General features: G+C 44.6%; 2 protein-coding genes across 2 annotated transcripts in view, besides 7 other annotated features; one reads left to right on the top strand and one right to left on the bottom strand.

The window, feature by feature from the left end:
- The window catches only part of RUFY4 (RUN and FYVE domain containing 4), a 55,719-nt gene extending 36,019 nt beyond the window's left edge, over positions 1-19,700 (bottom strand). The window contains exons 1-2 of the transcript NR_034176.2: positions 19,450-19,700; positions 19,240-19,317 (exon numbers count right to left, since the gene is read on the bottom strand). The gene's annotated coding sequence lies outside the window, so the exon portion shown is untranslated. The remainder of the gene's footprint in view (positions 1-19,239; positions 19,318-19,449) is intronic.
- Positions 8,635-9,136: an enhancer, noted in NCBI's record as "H3K4me1 hESC enhancer chr2:218910221-218910722 (GRCh37/hg19 assembly coordinates)". NCBI's record gives its function as "activates a minimal SCP1, AML or CMV promoter by ChIP-STARR-seq in primed H9 embryonic stem cells {active_cell/tissue: H9 hESC(primed)}" and the evidence as "EXISTENCE:reporter gene assay evidence [ECO:0000049][PMID:30033119]".
- Positions 12,743-13,002: an enhancer, noted in NCBI's record as "active region_17114". NCBI's record gives its function as "activates an Ori minimal core promoter by ATAC-STARR-seq in GM12878 lymphoblastoid cells {active_cell/tissue: GM12878}" and the evidence as "EXISTENCE:reporter gene assay evidence [ECO:0000049][PMID:35858748]".
- Positions 18,299-18,388: an enhancer, noted in NCBI's record as "active region_17113". NCBI's record gives its function as "activates an Ori minimal core promoter by ATAC-STARR-seq in GM12878 lymphoblastoid cells {active_cell/tissue: GM12878}" and the evidence as "EXISTENCE:reporter gene assay evidence [ECO:0000049][PMID:35858748]".
- Positions 19,244-19,776: an enhancer, noted in NCBI's record as "H3K4me1 hESC enhancer chr2:218899581-218900113 (GRCh37/hg19 assembly coordinates)". NCBI's record gives its function as "activates a minimal SCP1, AML or CMV promoter by ChIP-STARR-seq in naive H9 embryonic stem cells {active_cell/tissue: H9 hESC(naive)}" and the evidence as "EXISTENCE:reporter gene assay evidence [ECO:0000049][PMID:30033119]".
- Positions 19,401-19,450: a silencer, noted in NCBI's record as "silent region_12310". NCBI's record gives its function as "represses an Ori minimal core promoter by ATAC-STARR-seq in GM12878 lymphoblastoid cells {active_cell/tissue: GM12878}" and the evidence as "EXISTENCE:reporter gene assay evidence [ECO:0000049][PMID:35858748]".
- Positions 19,777-20,310: an enhancer, noted in NCBI's record as "H3K4me1 hESC enhancer chr2:218899047-218899580 (GRCh37/hg19 assembly coordinates)". NCBI's record gives its function as "activates a minimal SCP1, AML or CMV promoter by ChIP-STARR-seq in naive H9 embryonic stem cells {active_cell/tissue: H9 hESC(naive)}" and the evidence as "EXISTENCE:reporter gene assay evidence [ECO:0000049][PMID:30033119]".
- TNS1 (tensin 1) overlaps positions 20,652-24,623 on the top strand; it is a 234,192-nt gene continuing 230,220 nt past the window's right edge. The window contains exon 1 of the mRNA XM_047445637.1: positions 20,652-20,814. Coding sequence (XP_047301593.1) covers positions 20,659-20,814 — 156 coding nt within the window. The 5' untranslated portion in view covers positions 20,652-20,658. The remainder of the gene's footprint in view (positions 20,815-24,623) is intronic.
- Positions 22,429-22,985: an enhancer, noted in NCBI's record as "H3K27ac-H3K4me1 hESC enhancer chr2:218896372-218896928 (GRCh37/hg19 assembly coordinates)". NCBI's record gives its function as "activates a minimal SCP1, AML or CMV promoter by ChIP-STARR-seq in naive H9 embryonic stem cells {active_cell/tissue: H9 hESC(naive)}" and the evidence as "EXISTENCE:reporter gene assay evidence [ECO:0000049][PMID:30033119]".

The raw sequence follows: 24,623 nt of genomic DNA, 5'->3' as shown, positions 1-24,623 counted from the left end.
ATAAACCTATCAGTTCTTCTCGTTAGAGTTTTAGAAATGTTATTTATTTAGTCCACTGATCTTTTTTTTTTTTTTTTTTGAGACAGAGTCTCACTCTGTCGCCCAGGCTGGAGGGCAGTTGTGTGATCTTGGCTCACTGCAACCTCCACTTCCTGGGTTCAAACAATTCTTGTGCTTCAGCCTCCTGAGTAGCTGGGATTAAAGGTGCACGCCACCACAACTGGCTAATTTTTGTATTTTCAGTAGAGTTGGGGTTTTGCTATGTTGGCCAGGCTGGTCTCGAGCACCTGACCTCAAGTGATCTTCCCGCCTCGACCTCCCAAAGTGTTGGAACTACAGACATGAGCCATCATGCCCGACCCTAGTCCATGATCTTAAAGTAATTAAAAGCCTGTATTTAAGAGTACTTGTAAGAGTCTTATGAATCTGATTGCAGATGCCTTTAGAGAAGAATCAACACAGTAGATGATAAAAACTTAGAATAGCCATGCTTGAAATCTGATGAAAGTTCAACTTTTGAAAAGGAATTCTGTCATTTGTATTGCAAACAGCATTTTAAGACAAAAATGAGAATCATGACTGACAGCATCACACCAGGACCATCAGACTTTTATAAATTTCATATAATCTTTAGACGATGAAGATTTCTGTCAGTAACATCCACATGAATATAACTTAAAAGATGTTTAGGCCAGGTGCGGTGTCTCAGGCTTGTCATTCCAGCACTTTGGGAGGCCAAGGCAGGTGGATTTCTTGAGCTCAGGAGTTGGAGACCAGCCTGGACAATGTGGCAAAACCCAGTCTGCACAAAAAAATTACAAAAATTAGCCGGGTGCGGCTGGGCGCGGTGGCTCACGCCTGTAATCCCAGCACTTTGGGAGGCCGAGGCGGGCGGATCACGAAGTCAGGAGATCAAGACCACGGTGAAACCCCATCTCTACAAAAAATACAAAAAAATTAGCCGGGCGCGGTGGCAGACGCCTGTAGTCCCAGTTACCCGGGAGGCTGAGGCAGGAGAATGGGATGAATCCGGGAGGCGGAGCTTGCAGTGAGCCGAGATCTCGCCACTGCACTCCAGCCTGGGCGACAGAGCAAGACTCCGTTTCAAAATAAAAAAAAAATTAGCCAGGTGTGGTGGCGCATGCCTGTAGTCTGAGCTACCTGGGAAGCTGAGGTAGGAGGATTGCTTTAGCCTGGGAGGTTGAGGCTTCAGTGAGCCATGTTCATGGCACAGAACTCCAGCCTGAGTGACAAAGTGAGACCCTGTTTCAAAAAAAAAAAAAAAAAGGTTTAATATCATTTCGTTATTTGACAGTGCTTTTCATACAATTAAACATATTAAATAAGCCTCATATTAAATAAGCCTCATCCTTTGAGACTTTCCAGGGGCCCAACTGGAAAATCCCAAAGTCGATGTTAGGTTAAAAAGACTTAAGTTAGAATTCTATTTTAGGGAAGTTTGTCAAAGATGTTAAAAGGCTTAAAACATTTAATTAAAATAGAATCACGAGCCAGGCACTGTGTCTTGCACCTGTTATCCCAGCTACCTAGGAGGCTGAGGTAGGAGGATTCCTTGAGCCCAGGAGTTTAAGGCTGCACTGAGCTGTGATCATGCGATTGCACTTGAGCCTGGGTGACAGGGTGAGCCTTATGTTTATGAAATAATAATAACTATAATAATAATAAGTGGAATCAAATGTCATTTTGAAATAACAGTCATTTATTGAATCAGAAGGATAATAAAAATACTTTAAGAGTAAATATAAAATGTTACATAGCTGAGAGAAAAAAAAAACCTTAGACCTGCCTTAGGGATGACTTTCAAAAAACCCAATATTAGTTTATTAATATTAACAGCACAAAACACAAGACGTTATCTTTTTTTTTTAAAAAAAAAAAAAGTGAGATAGAGGTCTTGCTATGATGCCCAGGCTGGTCTTGAACTCCCAGACTCAAGCAACTCTCCTGTCTTAGCCTCCTGAGTAGCTGGAACTACAGGTGCTCAATACTGTGTCTGGCAAGAAACTATCCTAAAACTTGAAATCTCTGTTTCTTAGGCAAATTACTTAAAAGATAAAGAAAAGCCTCCTGCAGTATAACTGCTTGTCTTTATGGGAAGCCTATTTGGATAACCTGGAAGGCAAACCTCATACAAAGGTAATTAGACACGGTAAGAGTATGTCCAAGGTTAGGAGTGTACACCATATTATAGGAGAAAAAGGTAAACAAGAAAACCAATACCTTGGGCAACGGAATGCATGGTTTTTAGAAAAAGTAATAGCACGTGAAATTGTCTGGTTACATAGAACAATTTAGACACATCAGGAAGAGCTGAGTACAGAGTCGACTTACACTGGAGGACACGTTGTCCTCCTAGGCCTTTAAGACAAACATTCTGGGTCAGGCCACAAGAGTAGAGTCTGAAATAAAAAAAGAAAAAGCTACAGGAACTGACAAATGTTGAAGGGGACAGTCACCACTTTAGTAAAGCAAAAAGATGTATCTTTTCAAGGAAGAAGAGCAGGAGGCAGTGACGTATGACCTGTAAGTCACATGTAGTGAGATGTGAAAATGCCAAACCCCTGAGACATGAATCTGAAAAGCTTTAAGAGGAAAACTCTACCTTGAGAAAGGAAATTATCAATTTAAATGAGGAAGACAGCACTTCTAAGTTGAAATTATGTAGAAAATTTAAAATAGAAAAAAGGTGTAGTTTAGAAGATGATTGAAAATTCAACAGAATTCAGAATTAAACCCCAAACCTCCTGTAGTTTTTGTTGTTGTTGTTGTTTACTAAAAGCAGATCAATATTTTAAGAAAACCTTTCTGTTTCAAACATAGAAGACCAGTCTCCAGCCCTGTGCCATGGTACCCCTGATGTCAGTGTTTAATTTTTAGAAAACTTAGAAACATGTTTTTAAATCCAGGCAACCTAATCACACACAAAACTCCCTTTACAAAACCATCCTTCATAAACCCTCCCCAACTTGCTTAGGTCTTCCATTATTTTCTTAAAGTCTCATTACTGCCCTACACTTTTCTGTGTTTTTTTTTTTTTTTTTTTTAAAATATTGGAACAGCCAGTCATTTTATCTTAGGACAAGAACGTTCTCTTTTTCCCATTATTATGGAAACCACTTAATATTTTTTCTCTTGCAAAAATTAGCTTTTGTATATTTTGTATACAGAATTAAATATATTGATTAGAACTTTAATTTTAGAAACCTTAATTTTTAGTAAAAACCCAGGAATAAGTACTTTTCTGAACTGTTATATATAAACATCCCCTGAATATATGTTTTATAGTACTTAAAAACATATTTTTACAGAACAATTTCTAATGTGGTATAGGACGTTTTCTTAATAGACCCAAATATCTTTTGTGTTTTTATAATATTTAAGAAGTCAAAAATAAATAAGCTTAAAGCTATGTTTAACAATTAATGTTTCAGCATTTTATCTTATTTAGAAATGGCTCAGGACTGTGATCCTGCACTTTGGGAGGCTGAGGTGGGAAGATTGCTTGGGCCTAGCAGTCTGAGACCAGACTGGGCAATATCATAAGACTTCATCTCCACAAAAATTAATTTAAAAAATGAAAAGAACTTACCTAGATATTTTAAAAATATCTATCACTTACTTTAACATAACTTCAAGATTTTAAATTACATGAAAACTTTATGTATAAATGTTTATTCCATTTATATATACCTTGTTTTTTATTTACAATAATTTTACCTAGATTACTCTTGAAAACTGAGATATTAGAGCAGGTCATTATTTTAAGTCTTTTTCCTGTCAAAGAAAATCACTAAAGGTTAAATTGTGTTTGATATACAGAAAACAATGGTCATTGCATGTACTCTCATCTGTACATTTGTTCTTAGGTCAAACTCATACTTTTATGATCTTAAAACATCTAGCAGAGACAAATATAACACTGTCTGGCTACCAAACCCAGGCCAAAAAAAATGTGTGGTAATACAGAGAAAGATGTGAATATCCAGCTATAAGAAGGTCATAGAACATGAAATGCTGTGGATTTTGTAGTTTGGCGAGTAGGAGGGAGTGGCACTCAGTGGCTTCTTTCACTCTTGCAGTTCTGTGAGCTGGAGGGAGGGTTATAGCTCTTATTCCCACCTCCCACAGTTTGGTGAGCTAGCCAGGAGTGTCACAGCTCTTTTGCTCCTGCAGTTCGGCAAGTGGAAGGGAGGGTTACAGCTCTTTCACCCCTGTAATCTGTAGCTCATCAAGCCAGCCAGGAGCATCACAGCTCCTTCACTCCTGCCTACTGTAGCTTGGTGAGTTCCGGGTTCTTGTCCTGTGATCAAGAGGAATAAGATATGTGGACACTGGAGAGTGAGTAAGGCGGAGAAGAATTTTATTGAGTGACAGAAGAAAAGCTCTCAGCTGCAGGAGCGGACACTGAAAGTGGGGTAGCCATCTGTGAGGCTGAGTCTGGGATTTTTATGGGCTAAAAATGGAGGAATACTTGCTGACTGGTCCATGGGTGGCTTTGGAAAAAACACCTTTGATTGGTTAAAAGACATCATCCAGAAGTAGCCAATCAAGAGAGAGTGGGTGAGATGAGGATAGAAGTTCTCACTCCAGTCATGGACTCTATCTAGAACTAGCAGCTGGGTTTTCAGGCTTTAAACTGTCCTTGATTTGAAGGTCAGGTTTCACCAGGGACCCATCCCTGTCTGACTAGGAATTTGTCTGTCTCCTGTCACTATCACAAGCAGATTCAATTCAAATAAGATTATCTCAAGGCATCTATTCATCAAACTCAAAGATAAAGAAGGTCAAAGATAAAGAAAGGACCTAGCTGGGCACGGTGGCTCACGCCTGTAATCTCAGCACTTTGGGAGGCTGAGGCGGGTGGATCACCTGAGGTCAGGAGTTCAAGACCAGCCTGACCAACAGGGAGAAACCCCGTCACTACTAAAAATACAAAAAATTAGCCAGCTGTGGTGGCGCATGCCTGTAATCCCAGCTACTTGGGAGGCTGAGGCAGGAGAATTGCCTGAACCTGGGAGGCAGAGGCTGCGGTGAGCTGAGTTCATGCCATTGCACTCCAGCCTGGGCAACAAGAGTGAAACTCCATCTAAAAAAAAAAAAAGACCTAAAACAGCAAGAAAAAAAGAAGTCAATTAAATATGAAGGGGCTCCAATACATCTGGCAGCAGACTTCTTAGTGGAAACTCTACTGGCCAGGAGAGTGAGATGATATATTCAAAGTGCTGAAGGAAAAACTTTCAACCTCAAATATCATATTCAGCAAAATTATCCTTCAAAGATGAAGGAGACATAGAGACTTTCCCAGGCAAAAACACCTGCCAACTCTGGACATGATCCACAAGTGAGCTGCCTGCCCCAGGCCATGGGAAAAAGAAGGTCATTTGAGGAACATTCTAGAATCCCAAGCCTGAGTATCAGATGATGAGGTCCCAAACCTGCCATTTGGAATGGTGTGGAAACTCAGGGCCAAGAAATTTAGCAACAACAAAAAATGCTGTGAACCATATGACCCAGTAGTGCCCCAGCCAGTACAGCCATGAAACTTCCCCCATGTAGATTTCTTTGTAATCAAGGGCAAATGCAAGATTACATGAAAATATGCTCTTCGAAAGATAAATTCATGATTAAATATTACAAAGAACTAACAACCACCAGAATCAACAATCAGCCAACTTAACCCATGGGAGATTTAACAACTGAGGACTAGAGATAACAGAGCAATCTGAATGTGATTTTTAAAATAAGCATGTTTTAAAAATCCAGAGGCGTTTTATATTAAGAATGGAGAATTTAATGAACATGTTTACCTCTGTTTCCTCTCAAAAATCCACTAAAAATGACACTAAAGGGATTTTTTTTAAAAGGCATAATCCTACAAGGTACAAGGATTAAGAGAAAGTGAAGAAAAGATAACCGATTAAAAAAATAGAAATCAGAAGTAGATGGATAAGTGGTAACTGAGTTTATTAGACCAAAAATAAAGAGAGACAATAAAGGGAATCAAATAAATCTTTACAAAAACCATAATATCTTCAGAAACATAAGAAACACTATAAAAACCCTGGAAAACAACCTAGGAAATACCATTCTGGGTATAGGAATGAGCAAAGATTTCATGATGAAAACACAAAAAGCAACGGCAACAAAAGCAAAAATTGACAAATGGGATCTAATTAAACTAAAGAGTTTCTGCACAGCAAATGAAACTATCAACAGGGTGAACAGACAACCTGCAGGATGGGAGAAGATTTTTGCAAACTATGCATCTGACGAAGGTCTAATATCCAGCATCTATAAAAAACTTAAACAAATTTACAAGAAAAAGCAACCCCACTAAAAAGTGGGCAAAGGACATGAACACTTTTCAAAAGGAGACATACATGTGGTCAGCAATCGTGTAAAAAAAGCTCAATATCACTGATCATTAGAGAAATTCAAATCAAAACCACAGTGAAATACCACTTTAGACCAAAAAAGACAAAAAATAAAAGATGCTGGCAAGGTTGCAGAGAAAAAGGAACGCTTATACGCTGTTACTGGGAGTGTAAATTAGTTCAACCAGTGTGGAAGACAGTGTGGCAATCCCTTGAAGACCTGAAAGCAGAAATAAATATAAATGCTCATACTATAGAAAAACAGAACTTATAAGTTCAACCCATCAGAAGTAGCCAGAAGACTTAAAATTTATAACTGGGAACTTTCCAATAGGATAGACTTATAGATTAAAATTAAATATGAAAATATACATATAAATTAAGTATCTAGATCATTTCCGTATGAGATAAACTACTAAAATTATTAATCACTAAATAAACGTAAGTTTAAGCTTATGTACTTTAGGCTCGTTATTAAAGAGGAACTAGAGATAATTGGGTGCACTGGTAAGCATATCCTGTGCTATGGGGAAATAGGATTTAGGCCAATGAAACCACGTACATCCTAATTTTCGCTAGATATTAAGGCTACTAAGGGTAAAGAATTTTAATTAATACATGTAATTAAAACTACTAAAAACAAAGGATGAATGAAAACAACTGTACACAAATATGTATGTGAAAAATGTATTTTAAAAGTGAGATGTATTTTTAATAAGGAAAAGTATAAAATGTACGTGTTTTCCTTAAGAGAAAAAGAGAGTAATTTTGTCTTAAAGCAAGATGACTTATTGATCCGGAATAAAAAAGGAGAAAAAGACTAAGACAAAAAAAAATGAATAGATACAGAAAGTTGCAGAAGGTCTATGAAAGAAGAACTTTATTTGTGGTCATAGTACAAACATTAGATAGATTTTACTTGTAAGTTAAAAAAACTCGGTGATGTACTGGTGCAAAGTTAGAATTAGGTTTTCTCTCTGTTAAAAGGACACATTTTCTTGGAGTATTGGTCTCCCTGTGAATGTGAAAGGTTTTTTTTCCTTATCTGTTAAATAATTGGCCTAGAAACACAGATTTTGTGTTTAATCAAGGTAACTTTTTGTACTTCATGTTGTCTTTTTAAAAGCCTTTTATTATTGAAGAAAAGTGTAATCTTTTCAATACTAAAAGAGCTAAACTTTTTTTTTTTTTTTTTTTAACCACAATGAAACTTTTTGTGTTTGCCTTTGAAATCATTGTCACTTTGGTATTGTTTCACAGTGACCTGTGTACCTATTTAATCAAGTGTTTTAAACCTTTTGACATTTTTGACAGCTCCCCAAAATCACATTCTAAATCAAGTCTTTTGGACCTCAAATTAACATTGAGAGTTTCCAGAAGGGTCCCTGAAATATGTCAAAAGAATTAATTTTATCTCCTTGTAACAAGAGGGAAGTTAAACTAATTAGACTTATTTGATGTGTTAAATTGCATGAGAGGCACTGCCAAATAATAAGTGATGCTGAACTTTCTCTAAGTTATATTTGTCATTGATGAGTGTTCTAGAAATTGTATAAAATTCCTAGACGTCTCATATTTCCTGGTATAATGTTATCAGTTATAAAACTAATGATTGTCTTATAATGCTGTATTTTTAAGACTAACCAAATTTTCTTCCTGAAAGATTTTGAAAGCAGCTATGACACAGCATTGCAAGATATTCATAGAAAATGATTGCTTCAGCAACATGGATGGAACTGGAGAACGTTACATTAAGTGAAATAAGACAGGAACCGAAAGTTAAGCACTGCACTGTCTCACGCGTATGTGGAAGCTAAAAAAAGTTGAACTCATAGAAGTGAAAAGTAGAAGAGAGGTTACTAGAGGCTGGGAAGGGCAGGTGGCAGGGGGAGTAGTGAGAGACTACACTCTCCCTATACAATTACAGGATACACAATTAGACAGGAGGAATAAATTCTAGTGTCTCTAGCACTGTCCAATGACTATAGTTAACAATAGTATATATTTACAAATAGCTAGAAGAGAGGATATTGAATATTCCCAACACAAGCAAATGACAAATACTTGAGATGATGGATGTGCTAATTACCCTGATCTGATCACTATACATTATATACATCAAAACATCACTATGGGCTGGGCTCGGTGGCTCACGCCTGTAATCCCAGCACTTTGGGAGGCCGAGGCGGGCGGATCACGAGGTCAGGAGATCTAGAACATCTGGCTAACACGATGAAACCCTGTCTCTACTAAAAATACAAAAAAAATTAGCCGGGCGCCATGGCGGGAGCCTGTAGTCCCAGCTACTCGGGAGGCTGAGGCAGGAGAATGGCGCGAACCCCGGAGGCGGAGCTTGCAGTGAGCCGAGATTGCGCCACTGCACTCCAGCCTGGGCAACAGAGCGAGACTCCGCCTCAAAAAAAAAAAAAATCACTATGTACCCCATAAATATGTATCATTATTATGTACATATTTGCCAATTTTTAAAAAAGAAGGAGAAAAAAGACTGGTAAGTACAGGTGTCTGATAACTAAGATTATGCTATTGGACTGGGTAAGAAGTTCCAAAACTCTAAGAGAAAACTGATAGTTTCATGAAACTATTAACAAAATATCAAACAAAACAAAAGAGTTAATTAGATGAGGCTAAATTAACTGATGAGAATGATTATTCATTTTATTACTTTTTGTTAAAACGTTGGTTTTTTTAATGTATTGTTTTCTAGATTTAGGGAAATTTTTTTTCTTTTTTATGAGCTGTCAATAACTTACATTAATTTGATAAAATGTACTTTGTAAATAGAAAGGGAACATTTATCTTTTTCTTCCTACCTGATGGTTCCAGGATTTGGAAACTCTTCTTAAATATTCTTATATGCAATATGGGTATTTGCACTGGTTCAATAAAAATATACTCTGCTTGTAATAGGACATAAATGGGCAAGTTCTTTGCTTGACTTCTTGTCTAGAGAAGTTTTAAAAAGTCTAATCTGAGATTTCTCATGCAGTCAAATATCATATGAAAAAAGCTCAACATCAATGATCATTAGAGAAATGCAAACCAAAACCACAAAAAATAAGATACCACTTGGCACCAGTCAGAATGGCTACTATTAAAAAGTCAAAAAACAACAGATGCTGGCCAGGTTGGGGAGAAAAAGGAACACTTATACACTGTTAGTGGGAGTGTAAATTAGTTCAACCAATGTGGAAGACAGACAGTGTGGTAATTCCTCAAAGACCGAAAAACACAAATACAATTCTACCCAGCAATTCCATTACTGGGTATACACACAAAGGAATAGAAATCCTTCCATTATAAAGACACAGCTACACATATGTTCATTGCAGCACTATTCACAATAGCAAAGACATAGAATCAACCTAAATTCCCATCAATGGTAGACTGGATGAAGAAAATGTGGTACATATACACCATGGAATACTATGCAGCCATAAAAAAGAATGAGATCATGTCCTCTGCAGGAAAATGGATATCTGGAGGCTATTATCCTTAGCAAACTAATGCAGGAACAGAAACCTAAATATTGGTGTTCTCACTTATAAGTGGGAGCTAAAAGATGAGAACACATGGACACACAGAGAGGAACAACACACACTGGGGGGTTTATCAGAGGATGGAGGGTGGGAGGAGAAAGAAAAAGGATCAGGAAAAATAACTAATGGGTACTAGGCTTAATATCTGGGTGACAAAATAATCTGTACAACAAACCCCCATGACACAAGTTTACCTATATAACAAACCTGCACATGTACCCTGAACTTAAAATAAAAGTTAACATAAAAAAAATGTGATCTGAGATTTCTCATTACAGCTAACTAAGATTGACTGATACAAAGACAATAAAGCACCTTGGATAGTATCATATTTTATAGCATATATAGATTTATTATTCTTGCATTTACATACATATTCAGGTCAAGTTTCATGAAACTGATGGCAGCAGTGGCTCATCTGGCCACTGCCAAAACACTGGCTGCAGTGAGGAGGTGCAGCCTGGGCCTTCTGCTCCATGGAGCAGGCAGGAGCCCCACCCCTGGGTGCCACAGCAGCTGCCCAAGCCTAGCTGTAGATCCTGGCATCTCTGTGCTTTGGAGGCCCCAGAAGGCCTCCCTGACCCTTGCAGGCTCAGAAGGGCCTGCTCCTGCTGCCTGGTCTCTCCCCACTCCCGGTGCCCACTCCGATCATGGAGTAAGGTTGCATGTGAACCTGGGCACTGTCATAGCCCTGCTGGGTGGGTGCACACTCAGAGCAGTACTGGGACACCAGCCCCCTGCCTCCTCAGCCCCCTTCTGGACTTTGGGCACTGACAAGCATGGGAGGGAAGCCGAGATGGGGCTGAGGGCAGATCAGCACTGGCCTGCAGGTGCCCCTTCGTCTGAGCAGCCTGGATGCCATGATTGGTGGCAGGAGGCAGACAGGCTCCTGGGAGGAAGGTGGTGGGTCCCTGGCGAAGCCCCACCTTCAAAGTCTGGGGGCTGGGCTGCCAGTCCTGTGGACCAGAGGTGGAGCTTGTGGTGCTTTTTCTTGTGCCCACCTGTGGCTGCTGATGGACCAATCAGCATGCACTTCCCCCATCTGAAGACAATGCATACCCCAGACTCAGCCAGAGAAGAGCAGATGTGGGGATGACCAGTTGCAGAAAGGAGCTACCCTCTCTGGGGCCTCATCTGTGCTGAGAACTGCAGAAGTTGGGTTGACCAGCTGCAGAGAGGACCTACTCTCTCTGCTGAGAGCTGAACAGATGTTGGGATGACCAGCTACAGAGAAGAGCTACCCTCTCTGCTGAGAGCAGAACAGATGTTGGGATGAACAGCTGCAGAAAGGAGCTACCTTCTCCAGGGCCTCCTTTCTGTTGAGAGCTGCAGACTACTGGATGACCAGCTGCAGAGAGGAGCTATCCTCTTCAGGGCCTCCTGACTGCTGAGAGTGGAAGATGACCAAATGACCAGCTGCAGAGAAGACCTACCCTCTCTCCTGAGAGCTGAACACTCACTGGGATGACTTGCCTACAGAGAGGAGCCACCCATTCCAGGGCCTCCTCTCTGCTGAGAGCTGAAGACTCAATGAGACAACCTGCCTACAGAGAGGAGCTACCCTACTGCAGGTCTCCTCCGAGCTGTTCTAACATGCAATAAACCTTCTCTTCATCTTGCTCACCCTCCACTTGTCTGCCTACCTCATTCTCCCTGGGTGCAAGACCAAAACTTGGGCAAAGGCACCACTGGCCACAGAGGTTTCCAGCCAGAAAAGCAACACTCCAATCACAAAACTAGATTTATTTTGTAGAAACAAAATAATTGTGATTATTTTTGGTAAAAATAGGAGTGACTATAATAAAGATTGTATTTCAGTAGAAAACTGTAACACACTCATTATCAAATTCTGGTCCTGTTCATTTTTTTTTGAAGTTTTATCTCCCTATAAACTGGATTGAGTCTTGATTTTTCCTGGTTTCACTAAAAATTAAAACTGCCCCTTTCCCGAGCCCTTCAAGCTGAAGCTGGATGATTTAACTTCAGAAAAATCACTACAACAGATCATGTATGAACAACTTTCATGCTTGCTGCTATGGGGATCACTTGGAGAGTTTACCAGAACACCCAACAACATAACCAGAGACATTCAAGCTACAAATGAGGTAAATCCATCAGACTGCAGCTGCCATCCTCATTTCATCTTCTGAAGATGCTTTAAACTCAAATCTAGAAATCTCAACTAACTAGCCTCTGGACTAAAAAACTAAGACCATACTTTGCTCGAAATATTAACTTCTGTTTTTCTTTTGTTTTCATAGATACATACCCTGAGTTCTCTTCAAGCTTGTAACTTAACAAGAAAAACTTAGGCTCATATTGGTAAGAAATGGTGTTTCTATGTTAACAAATCAGAAATAGTTGCCCCAAAATTAAAGATCTTAAGAAACTAATACAAGTTTTCTTTTTAATCAGGCACTACCTCCTTTATTGATTTATTTAGTTGATGAAATTCTGGAAACTTTGCTCCAGGGAATTTTTCAGCCCTTGGATATTATTCTCCTGATTGTCGTTGCCTTTATATCCCAAGTGTGTTGTAGTCTCTCATGTGGTGGTTCCCACCAGCCACTCACTCATCAAATGATTGCCATCAAGGATTAGACAATTTGGATAAGTCAACAGCCCAACTACTCAAGCCTACAAAGACTATGCAATTTTGGATAGTGCTGACTATGTGATTTTACATCCCAGGGTAGCTGTTAATGATGATGGCATCTACAGGACTCTTTGTTCCAGTGACTACATCAGTAGCAGTAACTGAGAATAACGCTATACTGCTTGCTCATACTCTTAGCTTGCTGAAAGGATGACCAAAAAGGGAAAATTGTTAAAGTAAATTAAAATTGAGATCAGGCCTCAGGAATCCCTGAGAAGACAAAACCAGGCAGGACTTACAAATTACCTCAAGCTTGCTTGATTTGAAAACATAAGTGAAACTTAAGCTATTTCTTGTAAATGCCTATATTAAAGAAAAACAAAACTTACCTCAATCATTCAGAAGTAGCCAACAAACTTATATAATAGGGACTTCCCAACAGGATAGACCAAATAAAGCAGCTGTATAATTGTAACCAATCATTTTTTTTTTTTTTGGCTGTACTTCTGTGTCCAACCTATAAAAGCCTCTCTCTTGCATTCCCTCAGTGGAGCTCCTGAACTGCTTCTGGTTTGGAACTGCCCAGTTCATGAGCTGTTGTTTGCTCAAATAAACTCTTTAAAATTTTATTATGTCTCAGACCTAAATATATGGAGAAAGATACTATGCTCATGGACTGGGAGACGCAATACTGTTAAGATGTCAATTTTCTCCAACTTGATCTACAGATTCTATACAATCCAAATCCAAATCCTAGTTAGACATTATACAGAAATTGATAAGCAGTGTCTAAAATTTATCTAGAAATATAGCCAAAGCAATTTGGGGAAGAGTAGGCATGGAGAGTCACTGTCCAGGTTGGAAGAAGACAATGAGGAGCTCCAAGAAAGAGGTCTTTGAGAAAGAAAAATTAATAGATTATCCAATGAATGTGAATGTATTGAGGGAGACATTGGGACTGATGTCATGATAAGTACATGGAACATCCTATCATCAATTCCAGGGAAAACAAAACTTGTACAAAGAAAGGAAGTGTAAACGTCCTTTCAGATGGTTCTCTAGAGAACCATCTCTAGAGAACCATCTGAAAGACTTTGGAAAGCTATTCAGATTGGTTGTAAGGACATCCAGCATCTAGTAAGGACATCCAGCATCTAGTTCTCATTCTATCCTGATTCTACCATTAATAAGTCTCGTGACCTTGAGTGGGGTCTCGTACCCCTATAGATTTCAGTCTTCTCATCTGCAAATCGAGGGACAGAGTCGTCCACCTTTTATTTGCTGCCAGACCTGAGGATCTATGATAAGTCCACTCAGATACACACATTTTAGTATGTTCCGTCCCTACCAGTATTTGCATTTTCACCAAAGACAAAATCTTAGGGCAAAGCAATAAACATCAAATTGGAAAACTGTCAGCCTCTTCCCACAAAAGGGCAAGGTATAAAAAGAGGGGAGGAAGAGGCTGTGGCCTCCTCTTCACCTGCCTCCAGGTATGAAGTCAGAGTTTAGTACATGGTCATAAGGCAGGAGGAGGGCAACCAGTTTATCAGAAATCCTCAGGTCCCACAGAAATGAACACGTTTTCTAAAATAAAGTCAAGCCAAGCTGTCCTACCCCAAAGAAAATCCTAGCAAGCAAAGGTGGCTTCCTTCCTGAGGCCCCAGCCAGGTGTGTCCAACCGTAGGAGCCACAGCTCAGAGATCAGAGTGACTTAACAGTTAGAGGGCACTTGATGAGTAAGGTGAAATAGGGAAACCAAGTCAGACGACACCTCCCTTCTGAGTCCCAACCATGTCTACATCTGGAGAAGAACAGTTAAGTCAAGGGATCACAGACTTGTGATTAGAGACTGCCAGGGTCCATATGACCAAGCGGGGGTCCCAGGTGTGAAGCTGGGGTTGAGGATCCATTATCTGAATTTTCCACTCTATGGATGATCACTTTTATTCTTTTCCTTTTCTTGAATTTATTTCCATTTGTTTATTCCTAAATTCCCTGGTAGATCACCTGTGAAAGCTTGCAACTGTCTGATAAGAATAAAGGGGGAAGGATTTGACTTTACAGCAGAGACTTCAGAAGGAGTCCTCTCTAGGAGCAAATTGGGGGCAATCCAGTGGGAAGGAGGTGGAAGACTGCACTTGAGCTGCGTTTGGACAACAGGCACACAATCTTTACTTACTTTTCAGGCTGCTTTGAGGTAGTCTGGTGGGGATTTGATGGGAAAATGAACGCTCCTTTGCTGCTAGCTACTCTTTTGCACAACCAGTGCCAATGACCAGTTGATTTAAATGGCTCTGAGGCTGGGGGCATAGGCCACTCCCAGAGTCTGGATGGTTAGCAGAGAGACCATAGAGCTGGGGCAGTCCATGAATGGAAGAGCTGGGGTCAAGGTCACTGCTCCCCCCATCTCAGTAATGGAGAACGGCTTCTCTGGGAACCTGCCTTAGCTTCCCCCAGCAGCTAATGTCTGTTCCCTGGCTTGAGTCTTCTGGCACCTTCATCAATTCTCCATTATAACATGAACCCTACTATACTGCAGTGATGTGTTTACAAGTCCACCCTCCCCCAGCCTGTGAGCAAGAATCCTCTTCCATTCATCTTTGTGTTCTCTTTCAGGGACTATAGTAAGTGCTCAATCAACGGTTGTGGAAATAAATAATGGGAGACATTTCTACTGTGATTCATGGACCATGTGTCACCACCACAATTCATTGTCTATTGCTTTTGGTCACACACTCATACCACAGGTATGCCCGAACACACAGCCCACCTGGTCTGCCTGCCATTGTTCCTTCCCAACCATCCTCTAATGGTAGTGTAAATCTTGCCCTACCACAAATGTCAAATTTATCATGCCACAGATGCCTACAATTCTGCCACTGGCAAGCCTATTTTTAAAGGTAGATCATACTCTCCTGCTGGGTTCTCTTTTCATGTATAAATAGTGACAGGAAGTTTAAAGAGACAGTAGCCACTCTCAGTTTGCTTTTACCGATGTTGGTTTATCTTGCTGTGATGCCCCTTCCTTACTCACCGATAGAACCTCCATTGGATGAGGATGGTCTAAACCAGTTATGCAACCGATTGCCCACTCTCCCAGACTTCTTTACACCTAGTGGTGGCCAAGGATATGATTTTTGCTAATGAAGGTCAAGGAGAAGACTGCTGCAAGCTCTGGGAAAGCCCTCGCTTTTCCTACCAAAGAGAAAGAAAGACACTGCTTGGCACCCTCTCTCCCTTTTCTTTCCTTTTGCTTGTGACTGCTAGAGCTGCAGCAACCATCATGGGGCCATGAGGAAAAGGGCAAATGAATCGGAAAGAGGGTAGTCAGCCTTGGAAGTTACTGAGCCCCCAACCAACATTAGCAAATGTTATGTGTAAAATAATACCACCAAAAACCCCTCACCCGCTATGTTTTTAAGCCACTGGGAGTCAGATTTTTGTTACTAGCCGCTGAGGGCACTCTTCACTGATAACATGATCATCTAATTTGGGGTCTTCCAAACTTCCATCATCTCTAAACCACCTTTCACATTTTGGCCATGTCTGCTGAAGTGTAATATTCTTTAAATCAATTCACTTTTGTTAATTTAATTTAAAATGAATATGTAATGATTAAAATGAAAACAGATTCACCATGAATCACCCAAAACTGTGCATTTTTACTGATGGAGCACTTTGCAAAAGCAAACTCAGCTCTGTCTATGTCTCTGATGCCCAAATTTCCTTCTTAGTTGCATCATCATAATAAACACAAATAAGATGTTTAACTATGGCCATTTCAAGACATATTGTCCACAAATAATTGCTTTTTTTTCTGGTGTTTTTCTGAAAACTTTTTTTTTTATTCAAGCAGCTGTAATTCTAAGGTGTTATGTGTTCAAGGAGATTCATGGAAAGGACTCTGATAACTTTCATGGAAAGGTTTTTGATAACTTTAAGATCATACCATTGGACTGGGTAAGAATTTCCATAACTCTAAGGAAGAGACTGACGCTATCATGAAACTTAACCAAGATCAAGAAGAACAAAGTAATTACATGAGGTTAAATGAACTGAGGAGGATAATGTTTTTTATGAATTTTTATTTGAAACTTTGCTGGTTCTTTAAATATTTTGTTTGCCATAGTTTAGGAAACTGTTTTTTTCTTTTAAACTATCTATAGATTACAGAAATTTGGCCAAATGTACTTTTGTGAACAAAAGTGGAAACACTTACTTTTTCTCCACATAGGATCCTTCCAGAATTCAGAAACTATTTGTGAGTATTCTTGTTGGTATGGTAATATAGTGATTTGCTTCTGTTCTATAGGAATCGGTTCTCTTTATAACAGGATATATTGACAGTATTGGGTATATTACTAGGGCATTGACTGGGATGTCATATTTGAAAATGTCCAGAGAAGGAATCTATAGGTATTGCTGGTGAAGTCTGAAGTCTGCCTTGGTTTGGCTTTCTAGCCTCAAGAGGTTTTAAAAAATCCAATTTGAGATTTCCTATCAAAAGTTCCAACAAAGCAAGCTTTAAAAGAAAACCTCTGTGGTCAATTGCTATGTTTGCTGCATTTATTTAATTAGTCAGGCTGTGTTTGATGAGGCTAAACTTATTTTGCAAACAAATTAGTCTTACTTTGATTATCTTTGGTAGAAATGAGAGTGAATGTAGAGAGAAAAATTATGTTTCGGAAGAAAAATTATAGTGTGCCTGTTATTAGATTGTAGCCCTGCTCATTGTTTTTCAGTTTATTATCTTTTTTTTTTTTGAGACTGAGTTTTGCACTATTGCCCAGGCTGGAGTGCAGTGGTGCTATCTCCACTCACTGCAACCTCCGCCTCCTGGGTTCAAGGGATTCTTCTGCCTCAGCCTCCCAAGTAGCTGAGGTTACAGGCGCCTGCCACCACGCCCGGCTAATTTTTTGTATTTTTAGTAGAGATGGGGTTTCACTATGTTGGTCAGGCTGGTCTCGAACTCCTGACCTCAAGTGATCCGCCCGCCTCAGCCTCCCAAAGTGCTGGGATTACAGGCTTGAGCCACTGCACCCAGCCTCAGTTTATTATCTACCTGTAGACTGGACTGGATCTTGATTCCTTCTAGATTCCTCCAATCCAATTTTCTCCCATGGAATTACAAAGAACAAGAACTGCTCTGTTCCTGAAGCCTTATAAGCTGGAGCTGGGCAACTTAGTGTACATTTCAAGGGAAAACCTTCATGCCTGATGTGCGTGCCACACAGAGTTTCACCAAAATACCTGATGCCATAACCAGAGATATTTAAACTGCAAACCAGAGTGAGAAGTTGATGACTTCACGCTGTGGACAGCTTTCCCCAAAACACTGAAGAAGACTCCTCATCGTGGTGAATCTCTTACCTCTCTTAATTTCTCCTTGCTTATGTCTACCCCTTTCACTTGGCAGCATTATGCTGTAATTAGGATTTCACAGCCAGTAGCTTCTGTGGGTAACTTGAGGGAGTGTTGGTTCTGTCACATCAAACCCAAAGTTTTACGTCATCTAAGAGATCCGTTAGGCCACCCAGTGGCTGACTTTAGCAGCATCCTTAACTCAACTGTTGGTTCAAATTGGAACTGTGGTCCCTTTTATAGAGTTAGACTTCTAGACTCACTCGTTCTCACCCCCTGTTTTAATTTAACCCAGTCGTAGGATGCTAGATAATGTGATTCCTTGTGACTTGGACTGTGAGCCCAGGAAGAACCCTGAGTCTCACTGCCCAACTCTCTCCTTACACAAAGGAGGATGCAGAGCCTCCTTTGTGTAAAGTCCAGAGAGGGAAAGACTTATATCTGGCCACACAGCAAGGGAAAATCCCAGCTCTATTTTGTAGGCCAGGGTGTGAAGATGATGGTGTGGCCTCCACCGATTGAGCAGTCCCTGGGCGACGACACTGTGCTAATTGTTTAATATCTTTGTCCCATTCAATCCCCACATAACCCTGGGAGGCTAGAGGGGAACCTGGGGCACAGAGAGGGTAAGTCTTTTATCCAGCATCACAGAGGTTCCCAGGATTTGAACTCAGGTGTGTGTGCCCACAGGGCCTGTGTTCTGGGCCCTGACTTGGTGTGAGCAGCCCCGTGAGGGTTCATGCCATGTGGACACTAGGCTGGGAGTGTCCCCATGTTCCCCATGGAGGGCCCCCAGCCTCACCCGGGTACTCATCCTCCTCGAGACACCCACTCATCTTTTCCTGGGCCCCAGCTGAATGGAAATGTGTGTTCTTTGAGGAGAGGTTGCAGAAGTAAAGCGCGGCCCCAAGGCTGGAGCTGAGCAGATGCTGCGTGTGTGGGGGGAGCAGGGTGCCTGGTTTTAATACTGCCTCTCTCCTGGGGGATCTCATCCTCTTCTCCTCCCAATGGATCCTGGGGCCCAGACGGGGACACTGTGGCCCTGAGAGCAGGTGGCCTTATTCTGAGATCCTAGAGTCAAGACCAGGCATGGAGCGGAAAACCCAGGTGTCCTGCCTCCCGGGCTGTGGCTGCTGGAGTTTGGGGTGGCGTGGCAGTGGTACAGCAGTGGGACACAGTGGAGGGAAGGGGAGAGGGAAACGGAGGTAAATGAGGGAGGTGGCTGGGGCATGGGATTCAGGGAGGACGGGGTCAGGAGCCCAGAGACCTGGGTCTCCATCCTGGCCTGGCTACACACTCACTGTGTGATCTCGGGCAAATCACTCACCTTCCTTGAGCCTCAGTTTCCCCACCTGTAGACCAAAGATTGGACTGATGGTCTCGGCAGCCCCTTCCAGCCCAGATCCTGTGTGAAATCCATGAACGGCTCCATGTGTCTCCTCCTCTCCCTCGTCTCTGCCAGGCATTTTCCTCCCCTGGCTCCTGGCATCACACTCCTTCTATCCCCGTAAGTTCCAGGGGTCTCCCTGCTACTCACCCAGGAGAGCCTGGCTGGCTGGGGCACGACAGCGCGGCTCTGCTGCCAGAGTCCGTCCCTAGTGACTGCGCAGGGAAGAAGTGGTAGAGGCAGGATCCAGGGCGCTGGGGCAGAATGGTGAGATGGGGGATGGGTCCTCTCAGGCCCACCTGGGGTAGAGTCACCTGTTGGCCAAATGGGGGCTGATCCATTGTGGTAGCTGGGACTGCTGCTAGTTTCCTTTTCGTTTTCAGCACCTGCTCTTGCTTTTCTTCCTTCTCGCCACCAGGGGGCACAGGGAGGCCATGGAGCTCCGCAGCTGCTATTCCTGTGGTTGTCTCTTCCGTGTCGCTTGGTTGGGCTGTGAGGCAGCGCTCCAGAGTGGGGAGGGGAGGTCGAGGGCCCCACCACGCTCCTCCTTCCTGTCTCCACCTCAGTCAGCTGAGGCGGTCCCCCTGAGTGCTGGTCATCAGTGCCGACCCCCCAGGCCTGATCCCATTCCCAAAAGGATGGATGTGAGACCACCAGTGAGATCCTGTGCGCAGCAATGGGCCGGGCGGGTTTCCCCGGTGGGCTGGGGTCCCCCACCCTGGCTGTGCTCTGCCTCCTTGAGCCTGGGGTCTTTCCATGCCGGGTCCTCGTTTCTCCAGGCTCGGCTGCTCCAGGGGCTAGTATTAGGGAAGTGGAGCAGGGGCCTGGGAGGACGGCTGTTTTCACAAACCCCAGGAACCGCATCTAAAAACCAGCACAACGGATGCCCGAGGGTTTCTATCCTCGGCTCCGTCCTGCACCTATATCCCCCATGCGGAGGCTGCTTCCCCCATCTCTGTCCCTCATCTCTGCCTCTTCCTCATTGTCTGCCTTTATCTTCTCCCTGTCCCTCTGTCACGTTCTTGGTGTGTTTCTCACCTTGCCCCCCAAGTCAGACTGTCTGAAGTCCCTGTCCCAAGGACTCCACCACTGCCGCCCTCCCTTCTCCCCTCCCTGAGGTGGGCTTCCTCACTGGCTGTGTTCGGGACCTGTATTGCAGACCCTTATCAGGCCCCACAGTGGGGGCTCCTGTCGCTGCTGGACATAAAGGCAGGGACTCTGTCGGGGCCAGGCTGGGGTCGTTGCTGCTCGCCTGCCAATGTCGCAGGCGCTCTGGGCTGAGCTGTCGCAAGGGCTGGGGGCGGGCCGGCTTCTGGGGCTCCCGCGTCTCCGCCCCTGCCCGCCGGGGCGCCAGGCCGGATGGGCTGCACTGTGAGCCTGGTGTGCTGCGAAGAGCTGCGGCCCGGACCACTCTGCGGTCCCCAGCCCCCGGGGAGTCCCTGGGTCTCGGCGCGGGCTGAGTGCTGGGAGTCCGGGGGTTTGGCCTGTGCAGAGAGAAGGCAGCTACCGCTTCAGGTAGGGGCTGCGGGAATGGGTGAGGGACGACGCCCCGAGTCGGGAGCTGGCGGTTGGCAGAGCCCAGGGCACCTGACACAGGTTAAGTAGCCAGCCCAGGACGGTGCTAGTCTGCTTGGGAAGTGCGGCAAGGCAGGTGGACCAAGGGGGAGGAAGGACCACGACCGGGTGAAGGGGCCTCCAGTTGGGTAGAGGGCTCCCCTGGGTCTCTTGTGCCCTTGGGAGGAGGGTGATATAGGACCTGACCCCTAGAAGGGCAAATAGGTTGGGTGAGGTTGGTTTAGGAGTCACCCAGGAGGGGCAGGCCTGGAGTGCTGGGGCAAGGTAGGGAAAGAGTTAATCTTCCTCGAGCTGGACCAAGGGGCAGCTCTGGCAGTGTCCCTTCATTTAGGAGGACTCTGGAGTTAGGAGGGTGGGGGCCCCACTGGAGCAAGGACTTCCCCAGGATGGTGGGGACAGGCTGGCCTCTCACCCCTGCCTTCTCTGTGCTGGGTAAGTCTCAGAGACTAGCAAGTGGGGAGCTGACCTGGCAGTGGGGACAGGTCTGAGCTGGGAGGCAGGTGTCTGCTCTGGAGGAGTCTGCCAGGGAACCATCAGGCCTGGGATAGGTGTGGTGCTGGTTTCTTCCTGGGAGAGTAGGAGGAGGTGTTTGGGGTCACCAGGGATGGGTAACTCCTCTCTAGGTCCCTGTGACCTCAGGACTCGCTGTTGGTGGGTCTTCTTTCTTCACCCTGTGTCCCTGCCTCCCCACCTCCCACACAGCCAGCTTTGACATGGGGCAGGTGCCTGTTGGGCCAGGTAAAGGTGGGCAGGGACAGGGACAGGGAGTGGGGCTGTGATGGAGGGAGGAGCCGGGGCTCTGGAGGTGGATGATCAAGGGGAGAAAGAGGGGAGGGTGTGTGTGCCGGTGTGTGACAGTGGCAGGGAGAGGGATGGGGACGAGTGTCTGCATCAGATGAGCTGGTTTCTAAGCGGCCTCTGGAGAGAGCCTGGAGCTCGCCTGTGACTCCCTCCCTCCTCTGTCTGTGGGGATCAAGCTCCATCCCAGCTGCTGTGCCCTGACTCTGGCTCCAGTGAGGGTTGCTGCTGCTCGGGGCTCCCCCCTTCAGGGGTTTAGGGAAGAGCAGCCTGCACCCATCACCTGGGGCCTCACTAGAGGAGGGGTGATACCCTCGTTCTTGGGGCAGATAAACATCTCCTGGGTGCTGATCCCCTCAAAAGCCAAGAGTCAGTGGCTACCCAGACATCTGGGCTGCCTGCCAGGGCGCACCCACTGCCAGTCCTGCTGCAGACACACCCCCCATTCCTGCCCCAGGCCCTGCCGTAGGCCCAGCATCTCTCTTTGACCACAGCCTGAGCTCCTGCTGCCTGTGTCCACACCCAGCCTCGCTATTCTCCTGTCCCCTCAGCACAGCCCTCTCCTACCCAGGCCACATCGCCCCCTTCCCCTGTCATGCTGCCTCCTCCTCCACAAGCAGGCTGTCCTCCTCCTTCTCCTGGACTGCCTTGTCCCCCAGGCCCCATTGCCCACTCCTCTTTCTCCCCTGGCCAGCATTTGGCTCCTGCTCCTCCCCTTGGCTTTGAGAGGGTGCATGCCTTGGCTCTTAAGCCTCCAAGTCCAGCTCTGGGTTGTCAGTGCCTGCAGCTGTGGGCCCTGCCCCTCCCAGGTGGCCTCTCTAGGTCCCACAACTGCCCTACACCCTGAGCCCTCCTATGGTCCCACATGTCAGCCTCAGGAGCAAGAGGTTGGGGCTTGGCACCCTCCTGAGTCCTCCAGCCAAGCCTTCTGGGTGCCAAGGGGCCTGGCGGGCATCTCCGGGTGCCAGTCGTGCCTCCTTGCTCTCTGCTGTATCCCAGGACAAGTGGGTGCTTGTGGATGGGGCGGGAGCAGTGGGGAGGAGACTCCTGGCTGCTGTTGCCTCTTCCGTTTCTGCAGTCAGCTCTTCTGGGCTCTGCTTCTTTCAGCCCGGAGAACTACTGAGGTTAGACGTTCTCCTGGGGCCTGGTCCTGCAGCCTCCCCTGCATTCCTGTTGTGGGGCCTGCAACCCTTTTGGAAGTTCTAGGATCTGGTCTGACTCCCTCCCCCATGGGTTGGATGACCTCCTCTTCCTCTCTTTCTTGTTATGTAGAATCAGAGACCCCAGAGCTGAAAAGGATCTTAGTGCTTCTGAGCCTTTTGAGGACACAGATCCCTTTGAGAATCTGATGTAACCTATGGGTGCTCTTGCTAGGGAGAAGGTGCACACACACACAGACACACACATACACTCATACACACAGGCACACACACACTCACACAAGACACACTCATACACACAGACTTGCTCACACACAACACACACTCATACACTCACACACACAGACATGCTCATACACACATGCACACACACACTTATACACACAGGTGCACTCACACACTCACACAAGACATTCATACACACACAGACATGCTCACACACAACACACACTCATACACTCACACACAGACATGCTCACACACCCACACTCATACACAAAGACACACTCACACACTCATACACGCTCACACACAACACACTCATACACTCACACACAGACATGCTCACACACTCACACTCATACACACAGACACACTCACACACATACAGACACATTCACACTCACACAAGACACTCATAGACATGCTCACACAACACATACACACACACACACAGACATGCTCACACACACTCATACACACAGACACGCTCACACACTCACAAACACACACATACACTCACACATATGCTCACATGCTCACTCACATACACACACATACACACATACACTCCCACACTCACACTCATACATACACTCATACACACAGTTCACACACATGCTCACACACATACACACTCATACTTATGCTCACACACTCATACCCATGCTCACGCATACATGCATACACACACGCTTACACACAGTCTCACACACACACTGACACACACAGACACACAGCCACTGTGCAAACATACACAATGTCATATATTTCTTCAAGCCCCACTATAGCCCTGATTTATCCACCCCGTGTATTTCAAAACAGCACACTGAAGACCAGAGGGGGCGTCCTCAGTGTGACTTGCCCAAGGTCACACTAGAAGTGAGTTTCAGTGCTGGGACCACATCCCAGGAGTCCTGGGTCCAGACAAGTGAGGGTTTCATCCCCAGATGCAACTTTTGCTTTCCCCAGAGGCTGCCTGTAAGCCAGATGCGCTTGGCCATTCATTTATTCAACACTGATTCAAGCATTTTTGAGCATCTGCTATAGGCCAGGCATGGAGCTTGGGGCTGGGGATAGGGCAGAAAGCAGACAGCTCGGGTCCTTGCCCTCAGGGGGTTGTCAATCCAGTGGGAGAGATGGAACAGACTGCAAACAAGTCATTGAGCTGACTGGAGACAGTGCTATGGAGGCTAAGTTCAGGATGTGATGGGTGAGGATTCCAGAGGGATTGCACCGGGAAGGTGAAGGAAGTGACATCTGAATGAGGAGCTGAAGCAAGAGCAGCTGGGAGGAAGAAGCATTCCAGGTGGTTGGAGCAGCCGACTTGAAGGTCCCAGCATGGAGAAGAGCCGGGACCTGTTATAGAAGTGGACAAAGGCTTTCCTGGCTGCTCCTGGCTCCCCGGGAGCCCTAGCACACATGCTGTGTGTATATGGATTGGGAGGGAGAGAGTCAAAGCAAGGTGCCTGGGAGGCAGGGCAGGCAGGGAGGTGCCCGGTGGTCAGAGTTAGAGACGGTCAGCCAGGGAGAGGGCTGAGTGGGGCCATGACTAACTTGGGAGAAAGGACT

The sequence above is a fragment of the Homo sapiens genome, chromosome 2 (genome assembly GCF_000001405.40).
Source record: "Homo sapiens chromosome 2, GRCh38.p14 Primary Assembly".
NCBI lineage: Eukaryota > Metazoa > Chordata > Mammalia > Primates > Hominidae > Homo > Homo sapiens.
The sequence above is the reverse complement of the archived record's forward strand: the minus strand, read 5'-3'. Positions and strand labels throughout refer to the sequence as shown.